The sequence below is a fragment of the Homo sapiens genome, chromosome 4 (assembly GCF_000001405.40).
Source record: "Homo sapiens chromosome 4, GRCh38.p14 Primary Assembly".
Classification (NCBI taxonomy): Eukaryota; Metazoa; Chordata; class Mammalia; order Primates; family Hominidae; genus Homo; species Homo sapiens.
The window spans coordinates 10,731,897-10,749,826 of NC_000004.12; the positions used below are offsets into that span (position 1 = coordinate 10,731,897).

The 17,930-nt window shown below is 39.0% G+C and overlaps 1 protein-coding gene and 1 long non-coding RNA gene across 8 annotated transcripts in view, besides 1 other annotated feature; one reads left to right on the top strand and one right to left on the bottom strand.

The window, feature by feature from the left end:
• Positions 1-2,950, bottom strand: part of CLNK (cytokine dependent hematopoietic cell linker) — a 248,452-nt gene extending 245,502 nt beyond the window's left edge. For both annotated transcript variants that reach the window (XM_011513775.3, XM_017007684.2), the window contains exon 1: positions 2,632-2,950. In XM_011513775.3, the coding sequence (XP_011512077.1) occupies positions 2,632-2,634 (3 nt within the window). In that variant the 5' untranslated portion in view covers positions 2,635-2,950. The remainder of the gene's footprint in view (positions 1-2,631) is intronic.
• Positions 464-513: a silencer, noted in NCBI's record as "silent region_15282". NCBI's record gives its function as "represses an Ori minimal core promoter by ATAC-STARR-seq in GM12878 lymphoblastoid cells {active_cell/tissue: GM12878}" and the evidence as "EXISTENCE:reporter gene assay evidence [ECO:0000049][PMID:35858748]".
• A 2,744-nt stretch (positions 2,951-5,694) lies between the features above and the next one.
• Positions 5,695-17,930, top strand: part of LINC02498 (long intergenic non-protein coding RNA 2498) — a 71,347-nt gene continuing 59,111 nt past the window's right edge. For 3 of the 6 annotated variants that reach the window (XR_925377.3, XR_925378.3, XR_925379.3), the window contains exons 1-2: positions 5,695-5,881; positions 6,210-6,653. This is a non-coding gene — a long non-coding RNA (long intergenic non-protein coding RNA 2498). Of the gene's footprint in view, positions 5,882-6,209; positions 6,654-10,048; positions 10,841-17,275; positions 17,696-17,930 lie in introns of those variants that run through there. The other 3 variants (XR_925376.2, XR_427495.3, XR_925375.2) reach the window with 3 other exon arrangements.

Consider the following 17,930-nt stretch of genomic DNA (forward strand, 5'->3'; position numbering starts at 1 on the left):
GTTCCTAAAGGATTAGCAACGGTCTCTCTGAGTGGTGGGGCAGGGGACAAGCCCTAGTGAGTAGTGTTTGCTGATTTTCATGTTGTAAATGTCCTCATTATGGCTGATTTCAAGCAATCAATATGAATGTGGAATTGGGAAGACAAGTGCAGTAGCCACCATCATATAGCATTTTTATTATACAAAAATGACCTCAAGATTATAGAGTACAATGTGGTGAAAATAATTAGAAAGTAATGAGTTTTGCATATTTATTACCTTTGCTTTTAATATATTTATGAGTTTATGTAATTTCATTTTTAATAATAGCTCTGTTGAACAATCAGCTCATAAAATGTCTGAAAATTTAACAGTCAGTCTTTGTGAGCTCATTTAAGCTACATCTGGCACATTACTGAAGGTTGGGCGGATTTAACAGGATTTGAGGAGCACACAAAGCTAGCAGCCCCTGCAAAGGCCCTGTGGTGAGAGAGAGATTGGCAAGGCTGTTATGGATTTTTGAACTTCATCTTAATGACAAGTGAAAAAGCTACAGGTTTTTAAGTAGGAGTGAAATGGTATGACTGAACTTGGAAAAGTCCTGTGGTGAGACGAGGGGGTTTTCCACTGTCACTGAGTGGTTTTGTTTGAATTTGAGTAAACACCCAAGGACAGGGGTTCAAGCTCTGAATGGGGACTAGCCTTTTACATTCCATCTAACTCTGAAGTTCCATGGCAATCAAAGACTAAACTTGTAGAGGAGAGGCAGAAGAGGTGAGAATTGATGAATTAAGAACCTAGAAGAGGTGTGTTGCACATTATAAATATATATATGACAGCAACTCGAGGACCAAAAAAAAAAAAGCCTTATCTTTAAAATAAATAGCCACAGGAAGCCAAGTGAGTCAGGTGTTTTTTCTCTCTCTCCCTCCTCATGGGTTCCTATTTTTAAAACATCACTTCCTTGAAGTGTCAGACAATTATATCTGCTAATATATTTTTGCCAACATGATCCTAAAGAGAATAATATGAATTATTTATGCTGCTCCCTTTTGGCGGGAGTGAATAGGACAGTAAAGGCTCTGACATTTCATTTTAGGAAATTTCTAGTGCAGGAGATTTCAGAAAGCACAACCCAAGATTAAGAAGACAAATGAGCAGCTTCAATGTAGAGGGAAAATAATCCACCAGCAATTCCAAGCCCCCCTTTCGGTTATAGCTGTCAATTATGGCATTGGCTTTTATTTCCCCTATCCCCAGGTGATAGCCACAGCTTCCTGTCTCCTCAGCTGCCTGTCTTGGGGGTGCCTCTGCCAGACCTCTTTCATGGCAAGAGCCCTGATGCCACTACAGCCCCCACGTCTGCCCATAAACCCTGTGCCACAATCCACCTCTTAGTCACCAAACTCTTCAAGTCACCACCACCCCGGACATTCATGACAACAGCCCACCTTCCCCCCTTCACTGCCCGTTCAGATCTTGTCCCCATCAGTCCTGGGCCAGGTGAGTCTTAAGAAAAACACCTTTGGAGACAGTCAAGTTCCTGCTTCATTATGTATTAACCATGTTATACTTGGTAAGCTGGAGAAACTCTCTTGGTCTTAGTTTTCTGATGTATAAAATGGGGACTTTTTTTCCAAGTTAGGTATTGAGAAAATGAGTGTTTCAAAGTGCCTAGCACCTTCAGTGAATGATAGCACATTGCTTTCTATGATTATTAATTTTATGCACTACCTGGTTTGCCATGCATCTGTGTGTTTTTCAAAGTCCTGCTAATTTATTCATTCTGAGCATCTGCCATATGCCAGGCACCATGCTGTCCATCTTCTTTTGCTGGCTGTAGTTGATAGGAGCTTGTTGTATTTTGTCCAGAGATGCTTTTATCACTTTTCATAGAATATTAGTTCTGTGTTGCTGCTGAACTAAGTGCTAGAGTTCTACAGAGAATGCAGCAATGTGTTCCAGCCCCAGAGAGTTGACATTCCTGCATATCCATCATACATAAGTGCCATTCTCCTGAAGAGTCGTTTCTGAATATATATTGCTAATGTTTACTTCCTAAGAGTGCATTTTTAAAGTTAGTCTATGGCCAGCTGGCCCATTAGAGATACATATCTTTTTCTTTTCTTTTCTCTTCTTTTTCCTTTGGAGTGGAATAGGAGAAGACAAACCACTACTCAATAAGCATCTACTATGTGCCTGCACTTCTGTGAGGTTTATAGTCATTATCTCATTTTTTTCCCTAGAACAACCATATGAAAAGCCTTTCTTTACGTGGTTTTATAATCAAGTTAGCCAAAAGTCAGAGAGGTTAAGGAACTGATTCCCAATCGTAGGATTTGCAAAGCCTGAACCTGGGCTTCCTGACACCAAACCTGGGCATTTTGTTGCATGCAATGCTATAAATCTACGATTGATTGCATAGTTCCACCATTCTGGTCTTGGGCCCACACATATCTCCTCTCACAACATTATGGCAAAACTAGTTACATTGTACTGTCAAGTGAGACAAACCTGGCATTACCCAGCCGAATCTTTCCCTCTTCTTTATCAGAGAATTCAGGTCACTTTTACTCAGGACCAGTCTGTTGAGAAGTTTGTCCTTTTCGTGATTGAGGGAAGCATAACAAAAGTAAAGTTGAACAGACTCACCATTGAAGACACAGCAATTTAGCAAGAAATATGACTAAATGACTTGCAACTGTATTCACCATGTGTCTTCTAGATTATGGCCAAATCCCAGCTGCCATCACAAAAATCTTCTTCGATGTCAAAATTCCTGGTATTTTACATCAGTGCTTCTTCAGAAAGCTCATCCCTTTCTGGCCCCCTTGTAAGGATCTTGGACTCTGGGGATCTTGGTCTATTTGATGAGTACAGTGGTCAAGGAGAGCCAGATCAGACAGAAGCACCTGCCTGCTACCCACGGGGACATGAAGTTGTTAACAGCAGCCTGGACTCTGCTGGCTCTAGGACAAAGCAGGTGAGCTGAGTTGAGGTGGGTGGCGGGGGCGGGTGGCACATAAGCCTGACTCACACCTGCTGTTGACATCAAACAGTCACATGTTCCTATGGTGCCTGTTGTTTATGTCAATGAAGGGTAAGCCCTGAGGTCAGGAAACTCAAGATTTCTCCCATCCGAATGTTCCTAGAGTGAAGACGGCAAATGTGCCATCTCTTTTCTTTCTTTATTTAGAGGCATTCTATGTAAGATCAGGATGCTAATGCTTTGTTATGTCCATTGAAAATATCTTCTCCCAAGATGGGACTTGCCTTCTCACTGTTTTCATGGAATCTTTTGATGAAAATAAGTTCATATTCCATTTCACATTGATTGGTGGTGGTTGCCTGCAGCATAACTTTACAAAGAGTTCTGAGATCCTGGGCTGGCTCAGTAGGAAAGAGAACTATGATCTATTAGAAATGTCTGACAACCATACAGGCCCCTGGGACTGTTGTTTTATAGCCCTGGAATAAGCTAGCTAACTAGTCAAATGGATTTCAGCTCACTTTCCTGCCAAGGTACCCATTGGATAGAACTCTGGGAGCATGCAAATGCAAAGACAGAAATTCATGAAAGAAGCAGAGATAGTGCAGACTTTCAGTAAATAGTAGACACACACACGTAGATCATTTCTCAAGGAGAAAGGTACATTTTACCTTCCTAGGGGAGGTGAACTAAGCTCTAGATTTGAAGGATGAATAAGTTTAAAAAGTAGAACAAAATTGTATAAGTTTTCATATATGCAAGACTAATAAGTTCTAGAGATTTTTTTGTACAGCATAGTGCCTATAGTCATCAATACTCTAGTACGAATTTAAAAAATTAATGTCAAGTTTTCTTACCAAATAAACAAATAAGCAAATAAAACAAAAAGAACACAAGAAAAATTTAGAGGTGCAGGATATGTTTATTGCCTTAATATTGGTGTTTTTTTTTTCTTGTTATTGTTTGTTTGTTTTGAGACAGAGTCTCGCTCTGTCACCCAGGCTGGAGTGCAGTGGCATGATCTCAGCTCACTACAAACTCCGCCTTCTGGGTTCAAGCAATTCTCCTTCCTCAGCCTCCCAAGTAGCTGGGATTACAGGTACTCACCACCATGCCCGGCTAATTTTTGTATTTTTAGTGGAGATGGGGTTTCACCATGTTGGCCAGGCTGGTCTCAAACTCCTGACTTCAAGTGATCTGCCTGCCTCAGCCTCCCAAAGTGCTGGGATTACAGGTGTGAGCCACCGCACCCAGCCATTGCCTTAATATTGTGGTGATGGCTTCACAGGTATGTCCAAAATCATCACATTGTATACATTAAATATGGGCAGTTTATTGTATACAAATTAGGCCTCGATAATGCTTTAAAAAAATCTCAATAAATAAAAATGGGCAGTGGTATGAACAGCATGGTGCATCCATGAAAATTCAAGCTGTTTTGTGGGCCAGGGTCATTTCAGGTCGGCATAGCCTGTGACGGGAAGAGTGAGGCTGAAGAGGTTGCTGGGGTCTATGTCATCATGAGCACACCTTCTCTATGTTAAACAGTTGAGATCTTATTCTGCCAGTTATGGGGTTCCTGGTCTTTGTCCTATTTATTAGCATCAGGGTGAAATGTGAGATTATAAAATAAGGCTTGGCAGACAGGAAAGACAGAATAACAAGAACATGAGGGAGGACAGGCTTAGAAATTAGTGGGTGGCAAGTTAGCAGCCTCAGCTCTTTCATCAAGGAGCTGGGCTCAAGCTACATGTTTGGCTTTTGCGGAAGCTTCTATTTGAGGATAGAAGGATAGCCAAGAAGGAAAGTTGGGGGCTCAGTCTTTGAAAGATTGGGGATCATGGGAGTAATGGGTTATTAAAAGAGGCTTGAATCCAAGGGTTGGGGCAGCAATCTAGTTATCAATCTTGGAGCACAGGGGACAGGAAGGAGACTCAGGCTTAGAGCAGTACTGGACCATCATGAGAGCAATTGTCCAGCACCTGGCAGAAGGTTGGGTAGCCAGAAAAAAGCTGAATTGACACTCAGAACTTGCAGCTAATACATTACCTGTAACCTTAGCAGAGCAAAGGGGCACACATTATGCCACTTCAGAGACCTGAGTTTCAATCCCCACCAGGCCCTTTGTGCCTACATGAGTTTGAATACATATGGCTGTGCCACAGGAGACTGAGCAGCCGATTCAACAAGATGAGAGTAGAGACTGGTGAGCAGCAAGGGCAGAAGAGCCCCTCCAGTGGCAGGGGGAGAACCTGCGGTTGTCTTGCCAGCTTTGCCTGCTCTGTGCTCTTGGCCTCTCCCTCATTCTCATAGCCAGGGCTTTTGGAATTGAAACAGAAAAGTGGGATTTAAGCAGTTCCAAAATGACAGTCCTAGGTTCACTATCAGGCAAATCTTGTGAGCTCCAGTTTTGATTAATACAGCATCTGGCCCACGTCCCCAGCCTATGTCCAAATGGTTCAGGTATTGCCCAGCCGAACGACCTTGGCAAGTGTCAGGAACTCTCTGAGCACCTAATTCATCATCTACAAAACAAAGAGAATAATTCCAACTTAATAGAGGTGACATAAAGCTTTCTTAAGGATATTGGTGAAATGCACATACCACCCACTACACATCTTTACTAAATGCTCAACCAACGTGATGGTTGCTACGGTGACAATGATGGTGATTATGATGTGTGCTGACCTCTTGTTCTCTGTGAGTCAGACTTTGGTAGCCTCCTTACTTGCTCCACTTGCTTCAGAGAGAGAAGTGCGGGTTTGCGGTTTAGTGAAGGAGCAAGGCTCATGTGAATAGAAGAATCCAAGGTAGAGCAGGAAGAGAAATCCAGCTAGAGAAAGAGGTGGAAGTCAAAATAAGTAGACTCTTATTTTAAATTTTTAATGGCTTCTTGGTGGCTTCAAGATAAAAGTAAGTATACAATTACAATGCAAAGATAGTATTCAAATGGGGAGTTGAATGGGGAGTTCATTAGGTAAGTTGAGTTAACTCACAGGATTGATTCCTTTTCATGACATAAAACCATCTGTGTTTTGGGTAGTGTGAATTGTGAATTGAGAACTCCCCCTCGCCCTTCTCTCAGCCTGTGTTACTTTTTCTTTATCTTTGACTCTGTATCATTAACATTTCACATATCTGATTTTATTATAATTTTCTATTTATCTCATTTTCCCACCAGACAATGAATTCTTTGGAGGTGAGCACTACATGTATATTTTACCTTTGTTTCTCTGCACAGGATAGACAATGAGGAGCTTTGTGTTTGGGAAAAGAATAAAAGTCAACTGTAGCAAAACCTCTCAGAAGTAGGATTTATAAACAGTTCTCAAAGGATGCACATGAAAATGTAATTTCTTGGGAAAGTGGCAAACAGAAAAGAATCAAACCGCAGTTGTGTGTGGCAAGGATAAATATGCAACGCACCATCAATAGGATTTGTTGGGTGAATAAAAAAGCCTTTTAGCCAACAATATGTAAGCAGAAGAATGGAGCAGGAGTTAGAGAGAACCCTCAAGCAATAATGGAGGCCACTGGAGAGGCAAGACTGCCAAAGGCTAAGTTATTGACCCAGTATTTTTAAAACTGCCTCCGAAAAGAAGCCTGAACGAAAGAAAATAATTTGTGCTATTAGAATGTATTTTTCCTTTGTGTTCCTATCTACTTCCTTCACAAGCTATTTTTGGTAAGTTTTCATTAACCTTCTAACAAAATGCCAATTAAATCATCTTTTAATAGGCTGTGTTTAGAAGACCGAATCCAAAGAGAAAAACGTGCTAGATCGACACTTCAGTGTAGAAACCAGATTCTTAATCCTACTTGGATAACAACTGACATTCTCAGTTGTTTTCACCTGGGATAGCAATATATTACATGAAAACACAAATTCTCCAAGCAGTAATAAGGAATACATAATACAATACTAGTGCTGGGCTGACTTTCCTGCTTTGTTTCCTGGTATCTATTTTTTGTTTGTTTGTTTGTTTATTTTTGCCTTTTTCCACCAGTTGGCTCTGTTAACAGTAATTTGTTTTCCACATATTGCCAAACAACCTCCCGGGTTTGTGTTTATCATATAACCTGACAATATACTCAAGTCTGTGTTGATGTTTGAATGTTTTGCATGACATCAGCATTCTCCTATTTCCGGGAATGTGAATTAAACCACACTGCATGTTTATGTTTGGATTGTAGGTGCTCTGGGTGGAGTTCCAGTTACATTACATTTATGTCTCTTGTTGAGAAGCAAGCCCATAGTGAGATGAAGCAAAAATTTAACTTGGTCCTACACACACTGATACGGTGTGGTTTTGTGTTCCCACACAAATCTCAGGTCGAATTGTAATCCCCACATGCCAGGGGAGGGACCTGGTGGGAGGTGATTGGATCAAGGGGGTGGATTTCCCCCATGCTGTTATCATGATAGTGAGTGAGTTCTCATGAGCTAGTTTAAAAGTGTGGCACATCCCCCCTTGCTCTCTCTCCTGCTCCACCATGGGAGATGTGTTTGCTTCCCCTTCACCTTCTGCCGTGATTGTAATCTTCCTGAGGCTTCTCAGTTATGCTTCCTGATAAGCCTGTGGAACTATGGTAAGCCTGTGGAACTATTAAATCTCTTTTCTTCATAAATTACCCAGTGTGAAAATAGACTTTATAGCAGTATGAAAATGGACTAATACAGACAACTTTTCAGATTAATCAGATTTTGACTTTCCTTTTACTTCTGCACATCATGATGCACCCTATTCTCTCTGCATTCTGTTCCTCCTCCCTTCCTTGACTGTTTAATTCCTATCCATCCACCAAGTATCCTTCAGACATCACTCCTTCATGTCCCCACAGCACCATGTGCTGACTGCGTGAAAGAGTTCATCCCACTGAAGTGTTATTAGGGTCACTTGTCAGTCTGTCTCCATTTAACTGTAAGCTAATGGAGGCCAGGTGTTTACATTATTGACTATCATATCCCTACTAATAGAGGGACTGACTAATAACAATAAGTGCCCAATGTATGCCTGTAAAATAAAGAAAATTTTAAAATAAGAACAGAGAGTCATAAGAACAGAGAGTCAAATGAGCAGATACCTACATACACATTTTAAAAATTGATATGGATGGTAAATGACACATACATGTAAATAGAAAGATAATTAGAGGGATAAATACATAATCAATTGGAGACATAGGTAGATTATGGAGACAAAGCTAAGAGGAGGAGGGACGTGAGGATGCCAGGCCCAGGTTGCTCTCTTGTCTCATTGCTTTTTAATGCTTCATACCCTTCCCATTCAATTCTTTGGAAAGTCCTAAGCAGTGTTCTATCATATTCATATTGAATTAGCTAGTTTCCCTCTCTACTCCCTTCATGAAAAGATGGACAACAAAATTTTTGTTGCTGCTGTTAAATTTAATAAGCACTCAATTTTTCAAAGCTGTCTACAGCTGATCTAGTTTCCTTTCAAACTAGTATAAGAAAACAATGTTTTTGCCAGTTATACCTGACATAACATGCATGAGGTGTTTATGTGGTAGGAATCTATCTACTATACAGATAAGAAAACAAAAATGAGCTGTGTCAACAGGAATCGGCTTTAGTCATAGCAGGGCTAGAAGTGGTGGCTCATAGGGACAGAAGGGGTCTTTTCTGCTAAATGAATTCCAACTGATGAATACAAGATGTTGTCAAGAAGAAATTCTCTGACACTCTGTTTGTGGCTTATATGCTGTATGTTTAATGTGAAGAATGGATTACTCTTATTTCTGATTTCTAAGGTGAAAGTTGAGTTAGGCTCATTTGTTGGAAAAACTCTCTAGCCTGCAGAGTTCAACGTAGCAACCTAAGCCTAAAGGAAGTCCTGTTTTCTTTAGGAGTAAAATGTAGTTTTGTTTGGAGGGCTAAGATGCAAAATTGGGTTCTTTCTGTCATGGTGGCTGCCCTCCTAATCAGATATGGAATTCGGAGTTGGAAAAGTAAATAAATCCCAAGATAGGAGAGGAGTATGTGAGGTTAGTACAGCTTAAGCTTCATCATGTGTGGGACTGTGGACAAGTCATTTTTAGTTACCTTTGGTGAGAACTAAATCTTCACCAAATATTCTTAGTGATTTTTAGAATGTTTTAAGATCCTGTGAAGAAAAACTAAACATTTTAATGTTTTTTTTTCTTGAGAACTATAAATTTTGCTTTATGACAAATTGCTATTTTGTGGTGCAATATCACCAACGAGGCATGCAGGAACCACATTCTTCTAGGTCTTCTCCTCTTCCTGTCTCTTAGTTGATCTACTATTCCTCCTCTTTCTCTCCCAAGCTCTAAACACAGGTTTCCAGTTTAGGTGTTACAGAGGTATCAGTTTATTCCTTATAGACAAATTCTTAGGAGTTGCTAGAATTTGTTCATAAACCTGGGTGAAGTAAATTGGTTTTAAATATTTATACTGGAGTATGGTAATATTTAAAAAGAAATGCAGAATATTAGCATGCCCACTCCCAAGCCTCACCACTTCTTAACTATAACACGGCTAAGTTGCCCAACCTCTCCTGGTCTCGGGTTTCACAACTGTGAATCAAGATGCACCTGATTGTTTAAGTTCTTATGACCTAATCCAAAGAAAGTTTGTATCCAAGTGTCTAACATACGGTAAATGCTCAGAAGATGTCTGGTATTATTAAAATAAAATTTGAATTTGTCTTACCTGTTAAGGATCACTGACAGTGCTGCCCCTGATAGTTTTGTGTTTCATTGGTTTCCTGTATCTCACCTAGTCAAATATACTTCTTAAAAAATTCTGAATATTATCAGTGCCTATGATATGTATAGAACAGGAAGACATTTGGAACAGGAAATATGAGCATCATATCATGTATTTCATGTAGTGATGTAGTGTCCTCCGCAAACCCTCTGATTGCCACACAGTCAAAGTCTAAGCTTGCCAGCATGGCAACAAAGACGACTCCCAATCAACTGTCTTCAGCTTCAATTTCTGTTGCTTCTCTACACGAACATTCTCTACATGAGCTGGCCAAGAATACCTCTCCTCAAGCATCCCTGGTTACCTGCTCATGTACTCCTTCATTCTAGGAGCATTTGGCCAGAGTGATCTTTCTGAAATGGAAGACTCATGTATTGTTCCTGTGAGTCAGATGGGAAGCTGATGGAAAGTCTTCAGCAGAGAAAAATCCAAAGTGACTGCAATGATTTACGTGACTCTACAGATCCTGGCCCCTGTGGGTATCACCTCCCACCTCTCTACTCTTCACTGGCTGCACTCCAGCCATATTGGTTCCCTCACTTTCTTCACACTCAGTAAGAATGCTCTACCTCAGGGCCTTTGGATATTCTGTTTCCTCTCCCTGGAAATGCCTAATTCACTGGTTTTCACATGTCTCCCTGCTTTTTTCCTACTATGGGTGGCAGGTGGGATGTCACCTTCACAGAGAGGCTGTTTTCTGTGTGCACTTTATTACATAGCAACACATCCTTTGTCTGTTTCAGTTTCCTTATGCTGCTTTATTACTTTTTTCATAGCACATCTCTCCACTAGACAAGTCTGTCTTTATTTTTTTGTTGTTTGTTATGTAAGGTCCATGAGAACATGCAGTTTGTCTTATTTTATCTTCATTGCCCAGAATAGTACATTGGGTAGTATTAACCATTACCTCAGAATGACTGAACCCCCCACCAAGCTCTCTAGTGTTGTTCACAGTTTCCCCTTGTCTAGAGTTCCTTGTTACTGTGTTTAAATTTGGCTCAGCTTTTTTCAGCTTACTGAAATCTATCATCTCTTTGAATCCTTCAGTGAACATCCTGGTCTATAGTGATCATCTGTCCCCCTACATTTCTGGAGGAATAAAAAAATTTACTTGTCTATTATCATCTGTGACTTTGTATGTGCGAAAGAGGTTGTTGGTTAACTAAATATGTCCTGGGGTCAGATTGCCTGGGATCAAATCTTGGCTTAGCCATTTATAAGTTGAGTGACCTTGTGCAAGTGACATAGCTCACCTGCCATTCCTTCACCTGTCAGAGAGAATAGGACTAGTGCCCATTGCATTCATTTGCTGCATGACTTAAATGAGTTACATTCATCAAAGCATCATCCCTGGCACATGTAAGTGCTCAGTCAACGTTTGCACTGATTTTTATCACCTACATACATTGTGTCCTCAGCTAGATCAAAAGCTCTGTTCTATGTGCCATAACATCTGGCAGAGTCTTCCACACAGCAGGTGCTCAATAACTCTATTGACTTTTGGTAAAATTATTTCCCAAAAGAAATGTCAGAAGAAATGCTTAGAAAAATTATGCCAAAGCAATTATGTTTGTAAAGCTGTTTTGAGACTTAGAAAGGGTAAAGGAGAGTTTCAAAAGAAATTCCCTTTACATACTCAGTTGGAAAACATTTTCTAAGCATGCACTAAGGGCTAGCCATTGTGCTCCATGCTCTAGAGATGCAGTGATGAAAATGGCATGGGTCTTTTCTATAAGAGTTTGTGGGGACAAATATGTGAGTGAATGGCTGTAATAGACTGTGAAGAGGGCTGAAAGGGAGGTGTGTGCAAAGCATGATAGTGTCACAGCGGTCATTTATGGATGGGGGATGTACTGGATAGTTGCTTTTTCAGCTTGACTTTGGTAGCCTACATTTCTATTTCTGTGTGCTGCATGAACGATTTTGAAAATGAGAATGGTGTTAAGATTGAAAATGAAATAGGGTCCCCAGGGAATAAGAGCAGAAGTGGTTTGGGGAGAATATACCAAAACTGTGTAAAACAAGAAGCACAGATTGAACCAAAATTGTTTATTTCTTTAGGTTTCGCTATAACCTAGAAAAAAAACATTCTGAAAACAGCACATTGACTAAGACTTAAGATTTGTTGCCTTATTGTTCTAGCATGTTGTTAAGTAATACAATTGTTTCTGTCTTCAATGTTCTCTAATTGCAAGAATAATATGAAAATGGCATAAAACTGTAGGGTAACTGTCAGGGCCATGAAGAACAAAGCATGTTCAGGCCTCCAGGACCATGGTTTATGCCACCTGTTCTCGTCTGTCTGCTCCGACCCATTATTCTGATTTCTGTCTTATCTGACAATGTCTTTCAATGACAAACACAAAATTAAGATAGGTTGAAAATGTAATTCTAAGCATCACTTTTAAGAGATAAAAGAAAAAATAAGCATCTTTTACTTGAGAATTTACCTGTTCACAAGTAAATTGAGTTTTCTGTTAATCTTTGTACATGTGTGGCCGGTGTGCCTACTGTTAAATTGATACAAGATCAAGATATAAAATCAATTACATTTCTATATACTAGCAATAAACAATATGAAAAGTAAACTAATAAAACAATTCCATTTACCATAGCATTAAAAAAGATTAAAATATGAAGAAATTAATTTAACAAAAGAAGTGCAGTACTTATACATGAAACTATAAAACATTACTGAAAGAAGTTAAAGAAGAATCTTTAATTTAGGGAAATTAAAGAAAAATCTTTAATAAAGGGAAAGCTATTTTATGTTCATGCATCAGAAGACTTAATATTGCTAAAGTGGCAATACTCCCAAAATTGATCTACAGATTCAATAAAATCTCTATCAAAATCTCAGGTAATTTCTTTTGAAGAAATTAAGCTGATTATAAAATCTATATGGAAAATCAAGAAGCTCAGATTGGAAGAAAAAATTCTAAGTACAAACAAAGTTGGATAACTCACATGTTTTGATTTAAAAACTTACTATAATTCTATGGTAATCAAGATAGTGTGGTACCGGCATAAGAATGGAAACAGAATAATGGAATAGAATCAAGGATGCAAAAATAAACCCTTACATTTATCACAAAATTAAAAAATTATTCTTCAAAGGACACCAGCAAGAATGTGAAGAGGCAAACCACAAAATGAAAAAAATGTATTTGTAAATTATTTATCTAGTAAGGAATTTGTATTACATAAAAAAATTTTAACCCAACAATGAAAAGGCAAGTAACCCAATCAAAAAAATGAGCAAAGGATCTGAATCGACATTTCTCCAAATAAATATTAAGTATTTCTCCAAGGAGGATATACAACTGGCCAATAAACACACAAAAATAATACTCAAACATCATTACTCATTAGGGAGATGTATATCAAAATCACAATGAGCTACCACTTCACACTTATTAGGATGGTTAAAATAAAAAAGACAAGTACAAATAAGGATGTGGAGAAAATGTTAAGCAGAGTTATCACCTACAAATTCCATTTCTGGGTATAAAACACTTGGACATAAATGTTCATAGCAGCATTATTTGAATTAACCAAAAATGGAAACAACCCAAATGTTCATCAGTTAATGAACGGACAAACAAAATGTGATATATTCATACCAGGGAATGTTATAAAGTCATAAAAGTGAATGAAGTACCCATGCATGCTACAACATGAATGAACCTTGAAAACATGTAAAGTGAAAGAAGCCAGTCACAAAATATCACATATCATATGAGTGCATTTCTATGAAATGTCCGTAACAGGCAAATCTATAGTCAAGAGGTAGATTGGAGGTTGTTCAGAAGAAGAAGTTAGGGGAAATAGGGAGTGACTGCTAATTGGTATGCGAATTTTTAAGGAGAAATGAAATGTTTTAAAATAAAATAGTCATAATTGTTGCACAACTCTGAGTATACTAAAAATCACTGGATTGTACACTTTGACACAGTGAATTTTCTGACCTATAAATTGTACCTCAATGAAGCTGTTATTTCAAAACCCTACATAAATTGAGTTGAAAACAGTGGCAGCATTAGAATCCTAGAGTCCTAAGATCTGAATGAATCTTGAGCATGTTCTAGGACAATGATCTTCAGTTTGCTTGAATCCTCTCCTGAAAAATGTTTTCATCTGTGTTAGTCTCACACCAAACACAGAAATCATCACTATTCTTTCTCTGGATGAGTTTGTTTGCATGTTAGGAAGCTTAATAGCTGCTATTATCATTGTATTGTTACATTATATTTTTATAATACATTGCATTTTGTTGTGTTTATTATGACCTAGGCACAAAGTGCTTTATATCACTAAGTATTTAATAACTGTGTCATAAATTGGTTTTGAGGTTATGGTGGGCTCCATTTTACAGAAACAAAACTGAGGCACAGGAAGTAAAAAAAATTCAAAGTCACATAGCTCATAAAAGAACTTGAACTGTGTTTGACTTCACAGGCTACTTTTAACTAGTATTTCATATTGGCCTAAATCTAAACTAAAATGCCTCCTTGCAATTGCTAATCCTTTCTTCCTGACTCCTTCGTGTCACCTGTAGAAGTCTATTCACTTACAGGAAAATGTTTTCATATCCCCTTAAGTCTTCTACACATTGAGTATCTGGATTTACATCACTTCAGTCAAGGGTTTTCAAGTTATGGTCCTGAGACCTTTCCTACATTTGTCTGAAAGTGCGGTGTACAGAGGTCAAGAAACAAGATGCAATTACTCCCAGCTGTGGTGTCCGAGGCACCTTGAAAAGAACCTCTTGCTCCTTCCAAATAACCATAAAAGTTAGGCAACATTTTGCATATTTTACAAATGAAGCATTGAACACAGAGAGGCTGAGATCTTGTTCAAGATTACACAGCCATGAAGTAATGGACCCAAGATTTGAAACCACGTCTGGTTGTATTTGTTACTACTGACTTGAATTAGTTAATAGACTAGAAATTCCCCATTTCCTCAACATTGTAGACATACAAAATCAACTACATTAGCTGGAAGGATCCTACTGGAGAAGTAAAATCCTCCTAGCAGCTGGAGGCTGTAAATCTTAGGTCTGGAAGTTAGTGTGAGGCCAAGCTTATTAGTCATAATTAGAAGTCCTTAACATTTCAGAAAGGCTCTTTGTTTGTTGAACTGGACACTTTCTCTTGAAAGGAATAATGCAAATCTTTCAATTTATTTATTTTATTTTATTCTGTTTTTCCTACCACAGTGAGGTAGTGTCTGGGTGAGAACATTCCTTTGCTTCTCATTTCTTCTCCCAGAGCACCCTTTTCATAGAATGTTTTTAACTTGGCAGTTATTTTGATTAGAGTATAAAATTCGCCTTTTATGCTGAAGGATATTTTTTCCAAAAGCTTCTAGAGTCATTGCAGCTATTTGGCAGCAGGTCGAGGATGGGGAATGTGTACCCACCCTTGATGAGGAGGCCCAAACTTTGGCTGCAAGCACTGGTAGAATCTAGGGAGTGGCTAGCAGTTCTTTTTATGTGCTAGGCCACTGGCCACTGAAGGTATAAAGAGGGCTTTATTTTAATGAGGCAGCTGGTAGGAGGGCTGCCTAAAGTCAAGCTATGGCAACAAATAAGACTGTCGGAAATGGTAAACAAATTGCAGCCCTTTTCTAAAGACTTCTCAGAATTGCCTGGGAGGTGTGAGCCTCCCCCATCCCAACAAAGGAGACTGTGACCCAAGGGACTTTCATCTGAGGGACTACTGTCGGTCTGCATTTTTACTTTCAAAATGAAAAGTGAGGACCTGAGGCTTTAGAAAAGGATGGCGATGCAAGTGTGAGCGGCTGTATCTCACTTCTCCAACGGGCAACTGTCCTGCTAGAAGAGGAAGCAAACCCAACCACCAGTCAAACACCTTGAGGGCTGGACTCTCATTTAGGAACTTTGCACACATCATCTTTGTTAATACCCATAGGAACCTTTGGTGGCAGCTAATCTTCATCAGTATATATATATACATACATACATACTTTCTATATAAAAAGGTCAAATATTAAGAAACAGACCCGGAATTTGAATTTAGACCCGTATTACTCCAGGCACATGCCATTATGTCTCGTAGCCTCACCAGAGAATAGAAGAAACATTTTATTTGACAATTCTGTTAGAGTTCTTGGCACAACTTGGAGCTAAAGAAACAGTTCAGGTTCTAACGAGAAAATTATTTTTTCTTGGTTATCTTTTTTCTTTTCCTTTCCGAGGCTCCTGATTTAACCCATTAATGGGAGGTAATATGTTATCTATTTAGCACCACTGCTTGACTTCATTCGTTTATTCACTGAACAAGCACCTACTAAGCAAACCAGATATGTTTATCAGAAGTGTGGATATAGCAGTAAAATCATAAGCAAAGTGTCTGACCCCACAGATGATGTATTTTAATGAAAGGGAACCAATAATAAAACAACATTTCAACAATACAACGGGAGTTAGTGCTAAGTGCTTTAAAATATAGAGTAGGGTTGTTAGGGAGACAAAGAGTATGCCTACTTAGGTCTGCTGGTCAAAGGAGGGTTCTTTGAGGCAATAACATTTGAGCAGAGCCCTGAATAAAACTGTACACCATACAGATATCTGAGACAATATTACAGGTGGAAGAAACCCATTAGTATCGCTTAAGCAAATGTTCCTGTAAAGGAAGGTTACTATTAGAAGCATCAATATCCTTTAACAACTTTGCATGTTGGAGAATCTTTGTCTCGGTACCATGCTAGTAGTACCATGGTGACAAGATGACTCTACAGCTGCTCCAGAGAACCCAAGAGTGACCCACAGAAGTGAGTTTAATCTGATGAATGGGAAAAAATATCCTTGTAACATGGATTGTTCTGGAAAAGGGCCTATGTTTTTAATAAAAAGTCATAATAGATTTCATACAAATTTCAGGCATTATGGGCCTTAGGCTCTCTTTCACAACAACTCAACTTTATCATTGAAGCAGAAAAGCATCCAAGACATAGGTAAACCAATGAGTTCCACTATGATTCAACCAAATGGCACCAGCACAGGCTGGTTGGGAACTCCTCCCCTGGAGTTACACTATTTGAAATCTGGACAGATGTCTGCCCTTACATGAAAGATGGCCAACTGTTAGGTTTTTTTATTTCTTTCTGGTTCTTCTCTTTGCTCTTCTCTCTCTGCCTTCACTGCCTGCTTCCTGCATCGATCCCTCCGAGACCTCATTTGGTGCTTTGCCTGTGCCATGGGCTGGTCAACCCATTTATCAATCACGTTACAGTTCTACTGAAATTAAGAGCAAAAAGGTTCTAAGTTAGGAAAAACTGTGTAAAGGGACAAAAGGGAAATATAAGTCAGCCACCAAGACAATTTGCCAATGCTTCAGAACATGAACTTTCTGAGAGGTGTTCTGGAGGCTCTGGGATCTTTGTCTTTTCCTGTGTTGTTTGCTGAAATCTGGAGGGCTCAGGATTCTGGGTAAGGAAAATGAGATAGGACTGTAACATGAAAACCCATTTAATTGGATCCTACTAACTGAAGCCTCGAAATAACTGTTACACTTTGCTTTCCTCCACAGATTGATTTTTCTGAGAACAAAATAAATATCCACAGTGAGTCACAAATGTAAATGTATTGAGTGCCCAATGTATGGAGCCCTTTCTCCAAGACCTCACTGCCGTAAATACAAATATAACTGAGAACTGGTGATTTGAAGATGATTCTTGGGATAGCGGGCTAGGCGGCACTTCACACTGGCTTTTGGGGCCACATAGGGGTGTAATCATGTTATCACCCTGCACAACCCCAGAGGGTACCATACACAACCCATTTGACCAAACATGGCAGTCCTGAAAGGAATGATGATTGAAAGCCAAGACTGAGCTTTGGCAAGGAAACCACCTCTGAATTACCAACTCATTGTCTATAATGTAATGATAGCATCTACCTCTTAGTAATTTTGTGAACATTAAATGAATAAAGCATGACAAAAGGCCTACCTCTGTGCTTGGTACATAGTAGGTACTCAGTAAAACATTTTTTCTTCCATTCAGAAACAGATAAATGAAGGTATGCAAAACAATAGTTCATGACAAAGAAATTGGTCTCAGAAAATTTTATGTAAACCATAGAAAATTGGGAAAAAATAGATTTGATACCTTTTCTCCTAGAAATCCAGAGGCAATGGGATTTTTTAGCTTTTGTTACCCACAGATATGTGTTTCCTACAACTC